The following is a 20,612-nucleotide window of genomic DNA, read 5'->3' as shown; positions in this document are numbered from 1 at the left end:
CATAAATAGAATCATATAACATGTATCTTTGTGTCTTGTTTCTTCTACTCGACAGTATGTCTGTGAAATCCATCCACCTTCTGTAGCTGTACTTTTTTTTCACTGCCGTGAAAAAAAAGCATTCCATGTTATTGAAATGTGACACATTATTTTTCCATTTTACCGTTGATGGACATTCAGTTTGAGACTATTATGAACAGTGCTGCTATGAACTTGCTTGTTCATGTATTCTGATAAACATTTATGGCATTCTTTTATCAAATTGTATTTCGAAATAACTTCAGACTTAGATGCAAAAATATTTCAAATAATTCCTATATTCTTATTATGCAGCCATAAAAAGGAACGAGACCATGTCCTTTGCAAGGACATGGATGGAGCTGAAAGCCATTATCCTCAGGAAACTAACACAGGAAAAGAAAACCAAACACTGCATGTTCTCACTTATAAGGGGGAGATGAACAATGAGAACACATGGACACATGGACACAGGGAGGGGAACAACACACACTGGGGCCTGTCCGGAAGGTTGGGGGAGGGAGAGCATCAGGATAAATAGCTAATGCGTGCTGGGCTTAATATCTAGGTGATTGGTTGATAGGTGCAGCAAAACACCATGGTACACATTTACTTATGTAACAAACCTGCATGTCCTGCACATGTATCCTGGAACTTAAATTAAAACAGGCGGGGCATGGTGGCTCATGCCTGTAATCCCAGCACTTTGGGAGGCCAAGGCGGGTGGATTACCAGAGGTCAGGAGTTCAAGACCAGCCTGACCAACATGGTGAAACCCCATCTCTACTAAAAATACAAAAAATTAGCCAGGCGTGGTGGTGGGCACCTGTAATCCCAGCTACTCGGGAGGCTGAGACAGGAGAATCGCTTGAACCCAGGAGGCGGAGGTTGCAGTGAGCCAAGATTGCAGTGAGCCGGAGCAAAACTCCTTAAAAAAAAAATAAATACATAAAATAAAATTAAAACAACAACAGAGAATTCGTATATTTTTCACTCAGATTTTATTCTTTTTAAAAATAGCTATCTAGTATTCCATTATAAATACTTAAAAAATATTTACCTCTAATTTTGCCAAAATACTAAAAGCTTTTTAATTTTCCTGTTTTCTGCTATAGAAATTTAAGCAAAATATATACTTAACCTGTGATCTATATTTTTTCTTTGAATGAAAAGATACAGCCATCCTTCAAATCTTACATTTTATCAGCATCTTTAAAAAAATCTGTGGTCCATACTTTCCAAGTGCTTGACCGATTTTCAAAAAGAGTTACAGTTCCTTACAACTCAAATTGAATTTTCTTATGGAAATCCATTTTAGTCCTCTTAGATTCTGGAAACCAGTCTTCTTTCTGCTTTTTTGAAGTGTAGAAAAAACTATTTGATTTTTCCCAAGCCTGCCTCTGCTCCAGAGGTGGCCTGGATTTGGGTCTCCGTGAGCCTCTTTCCAAGTGAGCTGACGCTAGGACTGACAGTCTGGCTATAAGACTGACAACTTGTGGTTAGTGAAGGACTGTGTTTATAAACATCCATTGATGAGTGATCAGCCAACACACACATCCCCACACATACACATCCCTACATATGCATGCCTTGAGAGTTTGAACCAGCACTTTTTTTTTTTAAGAGACAGGGTCTCCCTCTGTCACTCAGGCTGGAGTACAGTGGCACAATCATAGCTCACTGCAGCCTCGAACTCCTGGGCTCAAGTGATGCTCTTGCCTAGGCCTCCCTGAGTGCTAGGACTACAGGCATGAGCCACCACACCCAGCCTTGAACAAGGCATCTCTAAGGCCTCTGATATAGCCACATTTTTGTTTTAGGTAACTTTAATGCAGAAATGGATTATTCATAGAAATTAATCAGAAAAGTCAATTAACAGTAAGCCATTTAATTGAGGGGTCCCTGTCCCTATATTTTCTGTACCTCCCACACCCACCCTTCCCACCTCAACCCTGTATTGTAATACTCAGTGGGCACAATGGAAGTTTTCTCTATTTCCCAGAAGACAATGGGGTTCACGGTTAATTGCAGTTTGGCTCCTTGATGTTCCTTGTAGTTGCATGTCATTAGACCAAGGTTAGCCCATAGGATATCTTCTTCAGCATAATATGACTATCTTACTGAAAACCGACTAATTTTTGGCTTGCTTTTTGTTAACTGCCACCCAACACAACAGGTGCTGAGAACACAATAGGCCCTCATTACAGAGTTCTTGCTTGATGGAGGCAAGAGAGCTAGGCTAGAGGGAAGACAGACTAGACAGTCAAACATTTAGAAATCTCTTCTATCCCATTATTCTAAGATTCTCTTATTGTTTGCCAATCCAACAGCATTCCAGGTTTTTGTATATCCAATCCATATGTTTCTGATGAATGTGTGTTTAAATTTCTAAAAGGCAGATTTAGAAAAGCAATTTATTGTCACAGATCCCTTAGGATCCATCTTCTTTAACTACAAACCAGATGTCTCATTTTCCCAGTAGGAAATAGACTTTGAACTTGGAAAGTTCACATTCTGTTTTCTACTCATCTCAACACAGTGAGAGGATTTCCAAATTGGTCAAGTGAGCCTCTTCTATCCCAGAGCAATGGAGCATGTTTTCCATTGTGAGGGCGGTCACTGGAGTTGGGTTGTGGGTCAGGAAACTTGTGTTCTGCTTGTAAGTCCCCCACAAATTCAGTATGACTCCCGGAAGTTACATCTTTTGGGGACCTTTGTTTCACAATCAGTAGAGAATCATGCCTTGCGTACAATGCCAAATGATAGGAAAGAGACGTGCAAAATGTTTTGAGCTTGCTGAAGGAAATACAGTGACATAATCCCAAAGTGGCATGCCATCGCAATAATCAGATTTTAAAATTCTGTAAAGTTAGTTGAGGCCCTATGAGATTGAGCCTACTTAAATTTGATGTTGTCCCATGCATGCATGGAGACCCCTATGGTGTTAGAAGATCTTTAGAAAGAACATTTATCCCAACTGTCCATCTGGCCAATAAAATTTTTGGTAGCATCCTAGCAGATAGACACATGGCATCTGCTTGAATACTACCTGCCCAGGGAGTTTACTACTGCCTGAATAGCCCTTTTCCTTGTTGAATCACTTAAGTCATTAGCAATGACTTTCTTAAATTGAGCTGGAACCAGCGTTTGTGTAACTTCTGCCTGCTGTTTCTAATTTTTTCCTCTGGAGTAGCAAAGATCAAGTTTGTGTTTTCTTTTACAGGATGGCTCTTTAGATATTTGAAGACAGCTCTCAACATGTCTCTCCTTCTCCAGAGAAAAATTATTTTTTGTAGCATCAAATTGTTTTCTTGAGACAGAGTCACTCTGTCATCCAGGCTGGAGTGCAGTGGTGCAATTTTGGCTCATTGCAACCTCCGCCTCCCAGGTTCAAGTGATTCTCCTGCCTCAGCCTACCGAATAGCTAGGACTGCAGATGCCCACCACCACGCCCAGCTACTTTTTGTATCTGTAGTAGAGATGGGGTTTCACCACGTTGGCCAGGCTGGTCTCAAACTCCTAACCTCAAATGATCTGCCCGCCTTCGCCTCCCAAAGTGTTGAGATTACAGGCATGAGTCACCACACCCAGGCTGTAGCATCAAATTCTTATCCCCTCCCTGCCTTGACCACCACCAATCCCAGAGACTCCTGGGACCATGGGCATATTTTCTAATATTGCCAAGTGGAGCTCAGGAATCTCATCCAAACAATACCGCATACAGGATCCTGGTCCAAGTGGCCCAGAAGTTGAAGCACCCAACAGACCCTTATTCAGCCCTCCCTCATGTACCCTGAAGGGCCAGGAGGGTTTTGTTTTGACAACTTGCATTCTATTTGAGCCATGTGGAATCTTGGAAGGTCTTGAAATTTCTCTAAAGAGAAGTTGATAACGGCAGATGTTAAAACGAAAGCTAAATTGATAACCAAATAATGCTCAAACTGTTTTATGCAAATGAAGGGGTGGATCTTTATTGAGCACCTGGAAGGCTTAACATTTTCTAAATGAAGATACTGAGGCACAGAAAGGTGTAGCAACTTTCCCCAAGCCACACAGCAAGGATTTGGCATTCATCTGGTTGGCAGGCCACCTTCTGACCCACTAGGACAAGCTACCTTCCCTTTTATTGGGCTAAAATGTGTGTGACTCCTTTGCCATGAGAGGTTAGGAAAAGTCTCCTCCTAAATCTGTCCTCCTTTCTTCTTCTAGGTACTGAGAGGTTGCTTTGCTCTGTAGGACTAGATGAACCTTTACTTTGCTGAGCCCTGGGCAAACTCCTGGGTGTTATTTTCATTCGTGGGTAGTTGTTAGATCATTGTTTTTGTGGGGCAAGGAGGGTTGGATTTCCTACTCTGCCATTTTGCTGATGTCATCCTACATTTTATTTTTTACTGATTTAGCTCAGGGGTATGGCCCACAAGTGGACTGCCTATTTTTATAAATAAAGTTTTATTGAAGCACAGCCACACTCATTTGTTTACGTGGTGAGTATTATAGCTTCTGTACAATGGCAGAGTGAGTAGTTGAAATAGAGACTGTACGGTGTCTGCAAAGCTTCAAATTTTTACTATCGATCTCTTAACAGAAAAAGTCTGCTGACCTCTGCTTTGGATCATGACTGAAAATTATACATTATGTGAAAATTTACTATTACAGCAATGAATAACTGATTTTTGCTGAAGGTGACAAAAATTAATTTTGTGGAATACAAAATAATTCCTGAAATATGTATGTCTTTACATTATTACTCATCCATATATTGCTAGCCCATAAGAACACTCAGACATGCAGAGTCATAATTAAACTCAGTCATCTTTGATATTTTGCTTTCAATAATATTAAAACCATCACTTTACACATATCGATTTTGCTTTTATAAAGGTATAGTTGTCAAAATAGAAGATAGAACATATTTAACAATTTTTTTTGCTTTGACTTATAATTTTTAATTATCAGGCATATGCTCTGTTTGTATTCTTGTTCTGGGCCTCTTAAATGTTAGAGTGGGAAGCCTGGATGAGGCCTGGTAAGCATGTCAACACTTAGATGTCAGGAGCCATTTTTTGCTCTGTTGGGGCCTTATGTTCTGAGCAAAGCCTCTGAGAAGTTCTACCAATGCTTAATGAGTTCAGCAAAGCCTACCTGTCTGCAGCTACCACAGGGCAGTGAGAAAAAAACCAGCAGAGCACCTGCTATGAACTAAATTGCATCCTCTGAAAATTCTTATGCTGAAACCCAAACACCCAATTTGACTATATTTGGAGATAGAGTCTTTAGGAGGTAATTAAAATTAAATGAAATCATAAGAGTGGAATCTTAATCTTATAGGACTATGTGTTTATAATAAGTGAAATCAATCTTTCTCTCTCTCTCTCTCCTTTCGCTTTTTCATGTGAGAAACACAGTGAAAAGGTAGCCATCTGCAAGATAGAAAGAGGGTGCTCACCAGAGACCAAATCCTGCTAGAACCTTGGTCTTAGACTTTCCTGCCTCCAGAACTGTGAGAAAATAAATGTATGCTGTTTAAGCCACCAGTCTACAGTATTTTGATATGGTAATCTAAATACAATAAGACAGATTTTGGTATTGAGAAGTGGGGTGCTGCTGTAAAAAATACCTAAAAATGTGGAAGTGGCTTTAGAACTGGGTAATGAGTAAAGGCTAGAGTCTTGCAGCACATCCTAGAAATATGGACATTTAGGGCAATCTTGGTAAGGTCTCACAGAGAAATAAAGAACAAGATACTGAAAACTGGAGGAAAGGTGATTTCTGTTATATGGTGGCAAAGAACTTGGCTGAACTGTGTCCTAGTGTTTTGCAGAAGTTAGAACATGAAAGTGAAGAAATTGGATATTTAACTAAGGAGATTTCTAAGCAAAGTGTTGAGGGATTGGCTTGGTTTCTCCTGACTAATTATAGTAAAATGCAAGAAGAGAGAGATGAATTAAAGAAGGAATTGTTAAGCAAAAAGGAACCAGAACTTAACAACTTGGAATATTCTCAGCCTATCCATATTGCAAAAAATGAAACTTGTCCTGAAGAGAACACTAACCCTACAGCTGGACAACCATTTGATGAAGAGATTGTGGGTGGGACTCATGAGTATAATCAGCCATCTCAGCGGAAGCCAGGAATAGAAGTGGGATTATATGAGCAAAAACACTAGTTTGAACTAAAGGAGACAGAGAAAGCTACACAGAATGAAGGAAGACTTTTGAAGTTCTTGGATTCTCAGGAGCAGACCATTTACCTATTTGGCTGCTAATTGCACTGTTATTCAAGGAAAAATAAGAATAACCATGAAGGCATTTATAGATAATCAGGGCTGACACTTCTACCACAGGCCCAGGGGGCAAGGCTGTTTCTACCTCAGTTTCAAAGGGTGATACCACCTCTCCAGTTTCAGTGGGCCAGGGTGACCCCGCCCTGTGCCTCAGGGGCAAGGCAGCCTTTATAGACAATCCTTTGGGCTGGACCCTCTCTGATAACTGAAGGGGCAGGGCCCTAGCAGAGCCATGAAAGTGACACTGCCACCCAAGTGGTGGGTAGAGTGTTTAACCAAAGAGGATTATTATTGAGCCTTAAGATCTCATGGAATTCGCCTTGCTAGGTTTTGGACTTGCTTGGGACTCACTACCCTTTCTTCCTTCTGATTTCTTTCTTTTGGAATGGGAATGTCTATCCTATGCCTCTGGCACCATTGTATTTTAGAAGCACATAACTAGTCTGGTTTCATAGGTTCACAGCTAGAGAGGAATTTTGTCTCTGGATGAATCTTACCTTAGTCTCACCAATATATAATTTACATGATATTTAGATGAGACTTTGGACTTCAGACTTTAAGAGTTGATGCTGGAAAGAGTGACGACTTTGGGGACTGTTGGAATGGAATGAATGCATTTTGCATGTGAGAAAACATAAATTTGGGGCGAACCAGAGGGGTTAAAACTCTCTCCTTAATTAAACTTTAGACAGGCTCTTCTAAGCCCTCTTTTTGACCTCATCCTTGCTAAGTCTAGTTTTAGCAGGAGTTTAGCTTAAGTCACTTTAGTGAGAATCCCCTGCTCTTGATATCCAATCACCTTCAATATCTGATCACACTCTTCTTCCCCACCCTTGATATCTGATCACCCCAGCCTACCTTTAGCAAGAATCTTGTTAAGTTGGTTTAACAAGAATTCATCTACCCTTGATGTATCTTCTTAGTAATTTTTCATCCACTGACCACTTTGCTCTGCTCCTTGGCTATAAATCCTCTTGCATTTACTGCATTTAGAATTGAGCCCAGACCAGGTGCAGTGGCTCACAGCCGGGCGTGGTGGCGGGAGCCTGTAATCCCAGCTATTCAGGAGGCTGAGGCAGGAGAATCACTTGAACCCAGGAGGCGGAGATTGCGGAGGTTGCAGTGAGCCTAGATCGTGCCACTGCACTCTAACCTGGGTGACAGAGTGAGACTCTGCCTTAAAAAAGAATTGAGCCCAGTTCTATCCTGAGGTCTTTTTGCCCCATTGCCATAGTTCCTGAATAATATCTGTTTTACCTCTTTTATTACTGTCCAGCTCTGGTTCTGTTAGGCAAATGCTATAGACTGAATTTTGTCCCCCTACCCAATAAAATTCATATGTTGAACTCCTAACCCCCAATTTCACTACTCTTTCACTACTGTCCAGCTCTGGTTCTGTTTAGCAAATGCTATAGACTGAATTTTGTCCCCCTACCCACTAAAACTCATATGTTGATGCCCTAACCCCCAATTTGACTGTATCTGGAGATAGGGTCTTTAGGAGGTAATTAAGGTTAAATGAGGTCATAAGGGTGGGTCCCAAATAGGATAGGATGTGTCCTTGTCAAAAGAGATCTCTCCAAGCCCTGCTGCCATGTGAGGACACAGTGAGAAGGCAGACATCTGAAAGCCAGGAAGTGAGCCCTCACCAGAAACCAACCCTGCTGGAAACTTGATCTTGGACTTCTAGCCTCCAGAACTGTGAGAAAATAAATGTCTATTGTTTCAGCCACCCAGTCTATGGTGTTTTGTTACGGCAGCCCGAGGTGAGTGAGACAGCACCTCTGTGTATCTGAGGCTGAGGTGTATGCTTGTGTGCAATCACATGCATTATTTCCAGAGTCGAGGTGCTAGAGGAAGTTGGTGTGGACTAGAGAAGCAGGCCTGAAGACACAGAGCCTGTGTGGCATGGTTATTAGGACTTTTGGTGAGTAAGGCAGAGTTGAGACCAACGGTGGGAGAAAGAGACTGCCACAGGCCTCTGCTTCTGCTGGGCTTTGTCTTGTTCTCTCTTTAGATTTCTTTCTCATTGGCAATGTGTGTAGCTTCCAAAGTGAGGTGTAGGCTGTGGACTTAGTCTATTGATTGTACCACAGCCCAACAAATAAATGATACTGTATATTGTTAACTCCTTTTTCCCATCTCTATCTACTCAGGAAGGCTTAGTGTAGCTGTTTGGGTAGAGAGACAAAAACTGGATTCTTCCACAATAAGCTTCTTGACCAGCAGGTGAAGAAATAATCCTTGCAAGAGCCCAGATCCAGCTTCTTGTGAGACAATGGCTGAGAAGAAATGATAGACGGGCCTGCAGAGGCCTACACGTCTGATTTTCATCAGTCCCTTTAGGATGTGCTATGGTTTAAATGTGTCCTCCAAAAGTTCATGTGTTGGAAACTTAATTACCATTGTAACAGTATTAAGAGGTAGGGCCAGAGGAGGAAAGGCTGAAGGCGTGAAAAGGCACGCAGGCGCACTGCACGGACCGCCCCCCTGCTGCTGCGCACCTCACGTGGCGCATGTTACGCCAGGTACCACACGCCACGTACTGCACACCACGTACCACACGCCACGTACCACACACCACGTACCACACGCCACACACATTATGCCACGCACGTTACGCCACGCACGTTACGCCACGCACGTTACGCCACGCACGTTACGCCACGCACGTTACGCCACGCACGTTACGCCACGCACGTTACGCCACGCACCTCACGGCAGCCCTACACTCGGCCTGGAAGAATTGTTTTTCTTCTCTGGAAAGGTGAACATTTATAGCATTTATTTCCCAAATCTGTTAACATGGCAAAATATGTCAGTCTCACTGAAGCTAACGAAGAACTCAAGGTCTTAATGGACGAGAACCAGACCAGCCGCCCCGTGGCCGTTCACACCTCCACCGTGAACCCGCTCGGGAAGCAGCTCTTGCCGAAAACCTTTGGACAGTCCAGTGTCAACATTGACCAGCAAGTGGTAATTGGTATGCCTCAGAGACCAGCAGCATCAAACATCCCTGTGGTAGGAAGCCCAAACCCACCCAGCACTCACTTTGCCTCTCAGAACCAGCATTCCTACTCCTCACCTCCTTGGGCCGGGCAGCACAACAGGAAAGGAGAGAAGAATGGCATGGGCCTGTGCCGTCTTTCCATGAAGGTCTGGGAGACGGTGCAGAGGAAAGGGACCACTTCCTGCCAGGAAGTGGTGGGCGAGCTGGTCGCCAAGTTCAGAGCTGCCAGCAACCACGCCTCACCAAACGAGTCAGCTTATGACGTGAAAAACATAAAACGGCGCACCTACGATGCCTTAAACGTGCTGATGGCCATGAATATCATCTCCAGGGAGAAAAAGAAGATCAAGTGGATTGGTCTGACCACCAACTCGGCTCAGAACTGTCAGAACTTACGGGTGGAAAGACAGAAGAGACTTGAAAGAATAAAGCAGAAACAGTCTGAACTTCAACAACTTATTCTACAGCAAATTGCTTTCAAGAACCTGGTGCTGAGAAACCAGTATGTGGAGGAGCAGGTCAGCCAGCGGCCGCTGCCCAACTCAGTCATCCACGTGCCCTTCATCATCATCAGCAGTAGCAAGAAGACCGTCATCAACTGCAGCATCTCCGACGACAAATCAGAATATCTGTTTAAGTTTAACAGCTCCTTTGAAATCCACGATGACACAGAAGTGCTGATGTGGATGGGCATGACTTTTGGGCTAGAGTCCGGGAGCTGCTCTGCCGAAGACCTTAAAATGGCCAGAAATTTGGTCCCAAAGGCTCTGGAGCCGTACGTGACAGAAATGGCTCAGGGAACTTTTGGAGGTGTGTTCACGACGGCAGGTTCCAGGTCTAATGGCACGTGGCTTTCTGCCAGTGACCTGACCAACATTGCGATTGGGATGCTGGCCACAAGCTCCGGTGGATCTCAGTACAGTGGCTCCAGGGTGGAGACCCCAGCAGTCGAGGAGGAAGAGGAGGAGGACAACAACGATGACGACCTCAGTGAGAATGACGAGGATGACTGACGTCCTCTCGCCTTAAGATTCAGCTTCAGGAAAACATTTAGGGAAAAGAAACTTTTTTTTTTTTTTTAATGTGAGGTTTTCTGTTTCTTTTTTGCCTACTCCCAAGAAGATATTGGTAAGCTATAGAATTTAGATATGCACCTCTGATAAGCAAGGATTGTTTCCCGTATGATTAAGACGTGCTGTTGATGTGTGTTTTGATACCAGTGTGCTGACACAGAATCTTTATTTACTTTTTAGGATTTTGTGTTTTCATTTTCTATTTTTCTTTAAATGCAGAGTTCATTGTTGCCCCTTAACAGTTTTTCCTGAGTTTACTGAAGAAATTGTACTTCATCCACATCCATGAAAATAAAATGCTCTCCTTTTGTGCACAGTGAGTACCGAATGCCGTTTATTTGCCTTGGATTTGGATGGCACCCCCACTGATGCATAGCAAGACTCTTGAGTTTTCCATTTGTTCAGTTTTGCAGTGTCCAGAGCCCCAAGCAAACGGCAGAATTCTATTTTCAGAACAATAAACACCATCAATCTTAAAAAAAAAGAGGTAGGGCCTTTAAGAGGTGATTAGGCCATAAGGGCTGTGCCCTCATCAATGGATTAATGCTGTTATAATAGGAATAGACTCTTGATAGAAGGATAATTTCAACCCTGTTCCTCTGTCTTGAATGCTTGCTTGCCATTCTGCCATGTTAGGACACAGCAGGAAGGTCTTCACTAGGTGCCAAGCATATGCTGGCACCATGGCTTTGGACTTCTCAGGCTCCAGAACCATAAGCCAAATAAATCTATTTTTCTTTATAAATTACCCAGTCTGTTATAGGAGCAGAAAACGAACTAAGACAGGATGGCTGAAGGCTCCTAGCCGGCAATCAATGCACATCTATCTATGCAGGAATCATTTGCTGACTGGAAGCAAGATGAGTAGGTTTTCCTTTTTCAAATTGGTGAGATAGAACAGCAGTGGAGCCTATAGCAGTGTCATGGTATGGTGAGAAGAAACTGGGTTAGAACCTAGGTAGGGAGATCTTGACTCATTAATATGAGAAAGTTGTACCAAAAGTGTGGCTGGGGACAGCAGAGGGAGCTGTTGCTTTCTTCAAGCACAGTTTCACAAAGGGTCATCTTTCCAACCATATGCAGACCTGTCCAGAGTTCCAAGAAAAAATAGACACTAGGATAATCACTGTGAAAGCAAGACCGTAAGACCCATTAAGAGAGGGCAGGTAGTTAATTACAATGAGATACCACTTCACACCCATTAGGATGGCTATTATGATTATTATTTTGAGATAAGGTCTCTATTGCCCAGGCCTGCAGTGCAGTGGAAAGATCATGGCTCACTGCAGCCTCAACGTTCCAGGCTCAATCAATCCTCCCACCTTAGCCTCCCGAGTAGCTGGGACTACAGCTACTCCACACCTAGCTAATTTTTTTTTTTTTGGTATTTTTTGTAGAGTTGGGGTTTCACCATGTTGCCCAGGCTGGTGTCGAGCCCCTGGGCTCAAGCAATCCACCTACCTCAGCGTCCAAAAGTGTTGAAATTACAGGTGTGAGCCACCACACGTGGTCATGACTGACTTCTTTTACTTAGCAAAATGTTTCCAAGGTTCATCCATCTTGTAGCATGGATCAGTACTTCATTCCTTTTTATGGGTAACATTCCATTGTATGGATAGATAGACTTTTTGTTTATCCAGTCATCTCTTGATGGCCAGTTGGGTTGTTTCTGCCTTTCGGCTATTGCGAGTAACAGTGCAGTGAACATTAGTATGCAAATATCTGTTCAAGTCTCTGCTTTCAATTCTCTTGAGTATGTGTGTATCTGGGAGTGGAATTACTGGGTCATATGGTAACACTATATTAAGCCTTTTGAGGAACCACCAGGCAGGTTTCCACAGAAGCTGTGAAACTCCCACCAGCAACATACAAGACATCTAAGACATGGTTTCGAGTAGTCTTGGGAGTAGAGAAGACACTACCAAGGTCACCTGTGTATAGTGATGGCACTGGCTGGTCCCTGTTTTTTGGGGGATCGGTTCCCTTGTGTCCTGTCTGAATACTTTTCCAAACCATGCTGCAAAACACGTGCCTTTTTTTCCCCCCATCAAGCCTTAACATAGTTGCCCCACTTTGGAAGGCTTTCAGCTCCTAAAAATTTCTGAGGAACGTTGGATCACTGAGAGGGCTGCTCCTCACCTCCAAGGGACATGTCACATAGCTCCACCTGCACTGCTTGTCAGATGTGGACTCCATGAAGGGGTGGGCACTGCCATAGCCAGTGTTCAGCCTTTGCCCTGCCTTCCCCTTGGCGCTGGCACCTAGAACATCCGAATGAACAGTCTCCTAAGGTCTGGAGCAAAGCCTTCCCAGCCAAGTGCAGCCAGCAGCCCCAGACAGTACCTCCTTTTGCCTTCTGGCCTCCTAATGTGCTTTGCATTAAAATATCCATTTTGGCTTTGCCTTTGAGTCAATTCTCAGGGGAGCAAGTAAAAGCTGAGCCATGAACATGTGGCCCATGGAGATGTAGTAGACAGAGAAATGACTGCAGTTCATTCCAGTCAGGCCCTTTTGGCGTTTTTCCCACACACCAGCAATGCCTAGGACTGACGTGTCCTTGTCTGAGCTCCGCCACTAACTGGAGGTACAATTTCAGCAAATCCCTTCTCTTCTCTCAGTCTCAGTTTCCCCATCTAATAAATGGGCAGGGAATCTCCAGGAGACACTTCCAACTCTAAATATTCTATTACTAACATTCAAGCAGAGCCTGACTCTAAGAAGCACAATCGGCATCCTTTCTGTGCGATAGAATGATAGTCAATGCTTTGGAAGATATTTGCTTTCCTGGCGAAAATGGTATGAAATAAATTTCTTTTATAATGATTCTGGTCTCAAGCCCTCCAAAACCCAGCTCCACTCTTGAAATGTTATAGGATAAGTTTTTATTTGCAGAATTTGAGTGTGACCTTTGCTGAGGCAGAACATGGTTTTGGGGGAGGGGGAGAGGCAAATGGAGGTGGGAAATACTGGATTGTGATTAACCAGATAATGAACCCCACCTGCTTTTAATCAGCCACTTCCTGTTCTCCCAGACCTCTAAACTTTTAATATTAATGGAAACAGATTTGAATTCTGGAAAGAGCTATTCTGGAAAATAATTGGATATTTACTAGGTGAAAAGTGAAATTGCACAGGCATTTCATAGGGTTTGGTATTTGACAGGTGCCATTTTTTCTTTCCAATGTGTTGCATACCTCTGTTTTATAAACCAATATGGATAGTGGTATAAAAGATTACGGGTTTACATGGTGGCAAGGCCTGGGAACATGTTCAGGGGGGTTGGTGGGCAGGAAGAGAGAACTTCAATTGGGGACAAGGCTGAAATGATTTGATTAGTAGGAAAAAAATATTTGAAGGCAAAGAATATTTCTTTAAAAGAAATATACCCATGTTCATAAATGGAGATTGCACAGAGAGAGAGAGAGAGAGAGAGATTGGCTTACCTGTGGAAGTCTGACTGCATACAAGAAGGTAACGCCTCCCTTGGCTTCTTAAAGAACTTTGTAGTTAGAGAAGGCAGGAAGGCACTGGAAGAGAGTGGGGAGATTTTATTAAAACAAAGCACAGAGCTCTCCAGGGTTGCAGGCAAGCAGAACAAATGGAAAGCAGATCTGCCAGAAAGCAAAGGAGGGCTGCTCCAGTGGGGTGACTCAGGCCCTTTGGGTTCTTTCCCTTGAGCGTCTCTCACTTCAGTCATTACTACTGTGATCATTAGGATTCCCCGCGTGTTTCCTCTTTAATGGTCTGGCCCTAGTGTGGACAGAGCCCCACCTTTTTTATTGAGATGGGGTTTTGCTCTGTCATTCAGGCAGGGGTGCAGTGGCACAATCATAGCTCACTGCAGCCTCGACCTCCTGGGCTCCAGCAATCCTCCCGCCTAGCCTCCAGAGTAGCTGGGACTGCAGGGACACACCATCACTCCCAGCTTTTTTTTTTTTATTTTGTACAGATTTATGTTGCCCAGGCTCAAGCGATCCTTCTGCCTCGGCCTCTCAAAGTGCTGGGCCTCTCAAAGTGTGAGCCACCACACCTGGCCAACAGAGCACATTTTAGGGGGATTCCTTCAGAGACAGCTGAAACTGGCTGTCCCTCTGCCCCTCTCTCCTTCCCCCCCTCCCCCCCCTCTTCCCCTCTCCCCCTCTCCCCGCCTCCCCCTCTTCCCCTCTCCCTGTCTTCCCTCTCCCATCTCTCCCGCCTCACTCTTGTCACCCAGGCTGGAGTGCAGTGGCGCGATCTCGGCTCACTGCAACTTAGCCTCCCAGGTTCAAGTGATTCTTGTACCTCAGCCTCCTGAGTAGCTGGGATTACAGGTATGCACCACCACACCAAGCTATTGTTTGTGTTTTTAGTAGAGACAGGGTTTTCACAATGTTGGCCAGGCTGGTCTTGAACTCCTGACCTCAAGTAATCTACCCACCTCAGCCTCCTGAAGTGCTTGGATTACAGATGCGCACTACCACTCCTGGCTAATTTGTGTGTGTGCATGTATTTTTGAATAGAGATGGGGTTTTACCATGTTGACCAGGCTTATCTCAAACTCCTGACCTTAAGTGACCTGCCTGCCTCAGCCTCCCAAAGTGCTTGGATTACAGGTGTGAGTCACTGTGCCCGGCTTGATTTTCTTTTTCTTTTCTTTTCTTTTCTTTTCTTTTTTTTTTTTTTTTTTGAGACGGAATCTCGCTCTGTCTCCCAGTCTGGAGTGCAGTGGCAGGATCTCAGCTCACTGCAACCTCCGCCTCCTGTGTTCAAGCAATTCTCCTGCCTCAGCCTTCTGAGTAGCTGGGATTACAGGTGTTTGCCACCATGCCCAGCTAATTTTTGTATTTTTTAGTAGAGATGGGGCTTTGCCATGTTGGCCAGGCTTGTCTCGAACTCCTGACCTCAAGTGATCTGCCCACCTCAGCTTCCCAAAGTGCCGGGATTACAGCTGTGAGCCACCTCAACCGGCCTGGCCTGATTTTCTTAAAAAATATATTTTTAAATTTAAATTAAGGAGAAAACACCAAGGAAATGCTTTACAGAGAATACATGCAACACTCAAAACAGGCTTCCATAGCAGATATTTTCCTGATCCTGCTATAATTTACTTGTAGTCCCAGAGGCAGGTCTAGTTTTACCATAATCTTAGCTGCTTTCTGGTCCTGCTAGTTCCCTGTCAGTCTCAATATGACAGCCACCATCTTATTTCCCACCAGAAGAGTGTGAGCACCCAGTTATCTCTTCTCTTTCTAACCAGGGTAGAAGGACTTGTTTCCCCAGCCCTATTTTTTCTCCCTCCAATCAGTGGTTCTAGTTTTCAGCTGAAGGATTCTCCTTGTTGACCATCAATTGGTAGGTTGAGGTGTGTCTTTCATCTGTGAGTATAATGTTGGTCACATGTGAGGCTGGCCAGTGAAGTCTGGACTGCTCAGTGCAGGCTGAGCCACTGATGGGAGAACAATTGAGTCCCCCACTTATTGATGAAGTAGCATATTTAGGTCTCAAGGGACAGACAGAATTACTTTGTAGGGCTTTATCCATATCCTTTGGGGAGGACACTGTAGGAGTATTAAAGAAGTAGCTTAATCATATAAAAAGCCTTCTTCTGAGGAGGAGTCTTGATTGGCCATATGTGCCATTCCGCCTTTTCAGTTTCTTTAGATAGTTACTTGGAGAAAAAGATAAAATGGTTTAGCTTTCTCGAATTCATGAAGAAAATGGTGCTCTTATCCTGAAAACTGACTTATCCTGAAAACCAGCTTATCTTGAAAACTAGGCCTTTTAGACCAGTGTTTTTGCAGATGAGGAAACTGAGGCCAATATAGAGGAAAAGACTTGTCAAAGTCACTCAGTACACCATAAACACAGCCAGAACTAGCCTCTAGGACACTTGCATGCCAGGTCATGAACTGCCAGGATAAGAACTTTGGGGAACCAAATTAAGAGAACTAAGGTAACTGGGTTGCACAGAGACCAAATCCAGGACCAAGGGCATCTCAATAGTGCTTTCTAATTGAAAGTTCTTTTTTTGTTTTTTTTTTTTGTTTTTTGTTTTTGAGATGGAGTCTTGCTCTGTCACTCAGTCTGGAGTGCAGTGGCATGATCTTGGCTCACTGCAACTTCCACCTCCTGGGTTCAAGCGATTTTCCTGCCTCAGCCTCCCAAGTAGCTGGGACTACAGGCACGTGACACCACGGCTGGCTAATTTTTTTTTTTTTTTTGTATTTTTAGTAGAGATGGCGTTTCATCATGTTGGCCAGGCTGGTCTCGAACTCCCGAAGTCAAGTGATCTGCCTGCCTTGGTCTCCCAAACTGCTGGGATTACAGGCATGAGCCACGTGCCTGGCCCAGATTGAAAGTTCTCAATCTCCCCAAGTGGTACAGAAACCCAGAGCAAGCAAAGATCTCTCCATTCCCACCAGCTTCAGTCCCATCCTCTGGTCTCCTTGGTTATAGCTAAAAGCTGGCTCCTGGTGGAAAATTCCTGTTACTTTCAGCCTGTGCCTCCCGGGTCCAAGCAATCCTCCTACCTCAGCCTCCCGAGTAGCTGGGACTACAGGCTCATGCCACCGCACTTGGCTAATTTCCATTTTTTTTTGTGGATACGGGGTTTCATCATGTTGCCTGAGCCAACGTGTTGATATTGCAGGTGTGAATCACTGCACTTGGCCTGCTTCATTCCTTTTTATAACTGAATATAACTGAATAGTGCTGCTTATGACTATGTGATACATGTATTTGTTAAAGTACCTGTTTTCTAGCCAGGTGTGGTGGCATGTGCCTGTAATCCCAGCTACTTGGGAGGCTGAGGTGGAAGGATCACTTGAGCCTGGGAGGTCGAGGTTGCAGTGAGCCGTGATTGCACCACTGCACTCCAACCCAGGTGACAGAGTGAGACCTTGTCTCAAAAAAACGTAGCTTTTTTTGCTGTTGTGAGGAGTATATATCTAGGAGCAGAGTTACTGAATCATACAGTAATCTATGTTTAAGTTTTTGAGGAACTGTATGGCAAATTTTTAATATCATTTAGCCTTCTTCAGACTACTTCTCAAGCTCCATGATTATATTCTCCCACTCCACAGCTGGTAGATGCTCAGGGGATATTAATTGTTTTTAAAATCAGTCTAAATCAAATGCAACTTTTCAAATAAACTTTACTGCAAATTTATTAGGAAATGCTTTCCAAAACCAAGCAGAAAATTATTTTTGGATTATAGACCAGCATTATCTAATACAACATTTTGCGCTGTCCAGTATGGTAGCCATAATTAGGCATATGTGACTAGCACTTCACATGTGCTAGTGAGACTGAGGAAATAAACGTTAAATTTTATTTTATTTTTATCAAAAATAAAATTTAAGTTCAAATAGCCATTGTGGTTAGTGGCTACTGCAGCTATAGACTGTATTCTCAATCTTTTCAGCATAATAAAAATTTGAAAATTTTCCCCAAGTATTATTTATTTTTCACATTAGTGGGGAGAGATAGCCTTGGGTATGCTAAAAAATAAATTTGCTTTGTAGAAATCAAGCATAAATACTCATGCTGGTAAGGTTGCACAAAACTGACATTTTCAAACAGCGCTGGTGGCAGTGTAATTTTTCAATGAAAATTCATTTTATTCATTAATTCATTCATTTATCCATCCATTCATTGTTTTAGTGGAATGCTTATTGTGCACTGGGCACTGTGCTGTATATATCCTAGGGACACAAAGATGACCAAAACATGATCCCTCCTCTCAAAAGCCCACAGTCAAGTAGCCAGGTAAACACTTAATTGCAATACAATGTGATGATAATAATGGTTTCCATTTTTAAAGCACTGACTGCATGCTGAGCACTGGGCTAGGGATTGTACAGACATTATCTCATTTAATCCTTCCAGTAGCTCTGTGAGTTAGATATGATTATCCTCATTTTACAGACAAGGAAGCGCATCTTGTGATCATAAGTAAGTGGACTGTTTGCCACAAATGAGGTATATCCAAGGTATGGTTAATGCTCAAATACAGGAATAAGTGATTATGCCTAGAATATATGATGTATGTAGGAGTCGGGGGAGGGAAACTGCACTAGATCTTGAAGGATAAGTAAGAGATAAGCCCCACAACAATCCATTTGATTCTACGGCCTTAAACAATTTTCACATACTTTTACCCAGTAACTCCACTTCTGGGAATTTATTGCAAGGAAATATCCAAAAGTATGGGGAAAAGAACCCTGCCTGAATGAACTGTTCATTTCTCTATTATTTATAATTCTGAACAATTGGAAACAACTTATACGTTTAACAACAGGGGAATGGTTCAATAAATTATGGTCCCTCTCATCTATGGAATATTGATGTGACCAATGAAAAATTTTAAAATAATAATGGAGAAGACTGTAGCAACAACAAAAACACTTATGGTATGATGTCAAGTGATAAAAACAAAATACCACATTGTGTATTCACTATGAATGCGGTTATGGAGAACATGGTTACATATGGGTAGGCCTAAAATGGAAATACAAAAAAAGGAGTTGTGTTCAGGTTGTGAAATCAGGGGTAAGAGTTTTTCTTTTTTTAAAAAAATGTTCTTTAACATTATTTTATCTTTTACTGTGGAATAAGTGAAAAATTTAAAAAGAGACATCAAGCCTTTTTTTCCCTGGTTTTAATGTGACTTTTACTTGTTCCAGATAGTCATTTTCACGGGAAAGTTTGAGATTCCTTTAAAAATGGATTGAATATGGAAAATCGTATGTGGTCCATCCTGTTTTAGCCAAATCAGAATCATTCAGTCCCTGGGTAATTAAAGTAAGTTGAGAATTGTTTTCTTTGCACACGTTTCAGTGGTCTTGACTTCATTGTGATATACAACAGAAATCACATTTCTGTCAAATATTTGCTAATGTTTATGGGGCCAAGTATTTGAAATAAAATAACTAATGAGTGACAGTCATTTCATTTTTGAAGTGCCTGTCTCCTGGGACCCAAACTCGGGTTCTGAGTGTATTTCTTTTTAATTTAGATGATAACATTAATATAAATCCAAGTCTTTATTTTGATAATGGGTTGCTGCTGATGGATTAAATGTGGAAAAGAGATTAAATGTGTTTGTTTTTCTTAAGTTGCTGGAATGATATAGCTGCGCAAATACAACCTCAGTAATGCTATTGCCTTCTTGTGATGTGGGGTAAGCTCTTCAGGCACAATTCTATTTACTAAAGGGACTGTCTCAAGCCTGAAATAAGCAATAGAGAGGGATCATTTTTGTTCAGGGTTTGTTTCCCATCCAATACATAAGGTCGACTATTAGACCTAGCATGACATGGTAGCTAAGAGTCACACAGACCAAGCCTCAAATCTTGGCACTTCTATTTGCTAGCCGTTTGACCCTAGGCAAGTTACAACACCTTTCTATGCCTCAGTCTTTTCATCTGTTTAAAACAAAAAAAGTAACAGTTATAGAACCAACTCATAGGATTGTTTTGAGTATTATCTGAGATAACACCTAGCTCAGTATCTGACATACACGAAACGCTTAATAAATGGCAAACACTATTGTAGCACATAGAAGACACCACACTAAGTAATAGGTTGTTTACTTGTCACTTTCCTCTGGTTATAAGTTACTTGAGGGCAGTGACTTGTTCATCATTGTAGCCCCAGTCCCCCAGCACATGGCCTGGGACACAGTAGTTGCTCAAGAAATACTCGTGGGATGAATTTAATGAATGCCTGGTGATTTGTGGAAATACCGGAAAGCATGAGATGCAGCCCCTGCCCTTCAGGAGCTTATAGACATAATGGGTGGGTGGGTGTGGGGAGAGATACACACAGGTATCTGGGGGTTTGCAGGAACAGATAATTTAAAATCAGAAAACCAGGTTTCGAGTACTAGTTCGGCTTGCTAGCTGTGTGGACTTTGAAATGTCAGGTAACATTTTTGAGCCTCAGTTCCTCAACCTAAAATGGGAATCATCAACGATCATCATCTTCACAAAGGTGTTATGCATTTATGTGATAAACGTATATGAAAGTGCTTTGTGGACTGAAAAGCAGGATATAAAACTAAAAAGGTGTTATTACTCTAAATAACATCAATGCTGTGCTGGAAATTTTAAGTTCCAGACCTTATTATCTTTAGTAGCTATAGGAGCTCTGAAAAGAGAAAAACTCCAGACCGATGGTTAATTAGATGACTATTATCGTATTGTCTTACCTATTAAAAAATAATATTCATTATTCACCTTTTAGAGA

At 42.6% G+C, this 20,612-nt stretch overlaps 1 protein-coding gene across 1 annotated transcript; it reads left to right on the top strand.

Moving 5' to 3' along the window:
* Nucleotides 9,012-10,704, top strand: TFDP3 (transcription factor Dp family member 3). Its single transcript, NM_016521.3, has one exon. It carries the CDS (start codon nt 9,107-9,109, stop codon nt 10,322-10,324), a length of 1,218 nt encoding a protein of 405 aa, NP_057605.3. The 5' UTR covers nt 9,012-9,106; the 3' UTR covers nt 10,325-10,704.

The sequence above is a fragment of the Homo sapiens genome, chromosome X, assembly GCF_000001405.40.
Source record: "Homo sapiens chromosome X, GRCh38.p14 Primary Assembly".
NCBI classification, from domain to species: domain Eukaryota; kingdom Metazoa; phylum Chordata; class Mammalia; order Primates; family Hominidae; genus Homo; species Homo sapiens.
This window is presented reverse-complemented; position numbering and strand designations above follow the sequence as displayed.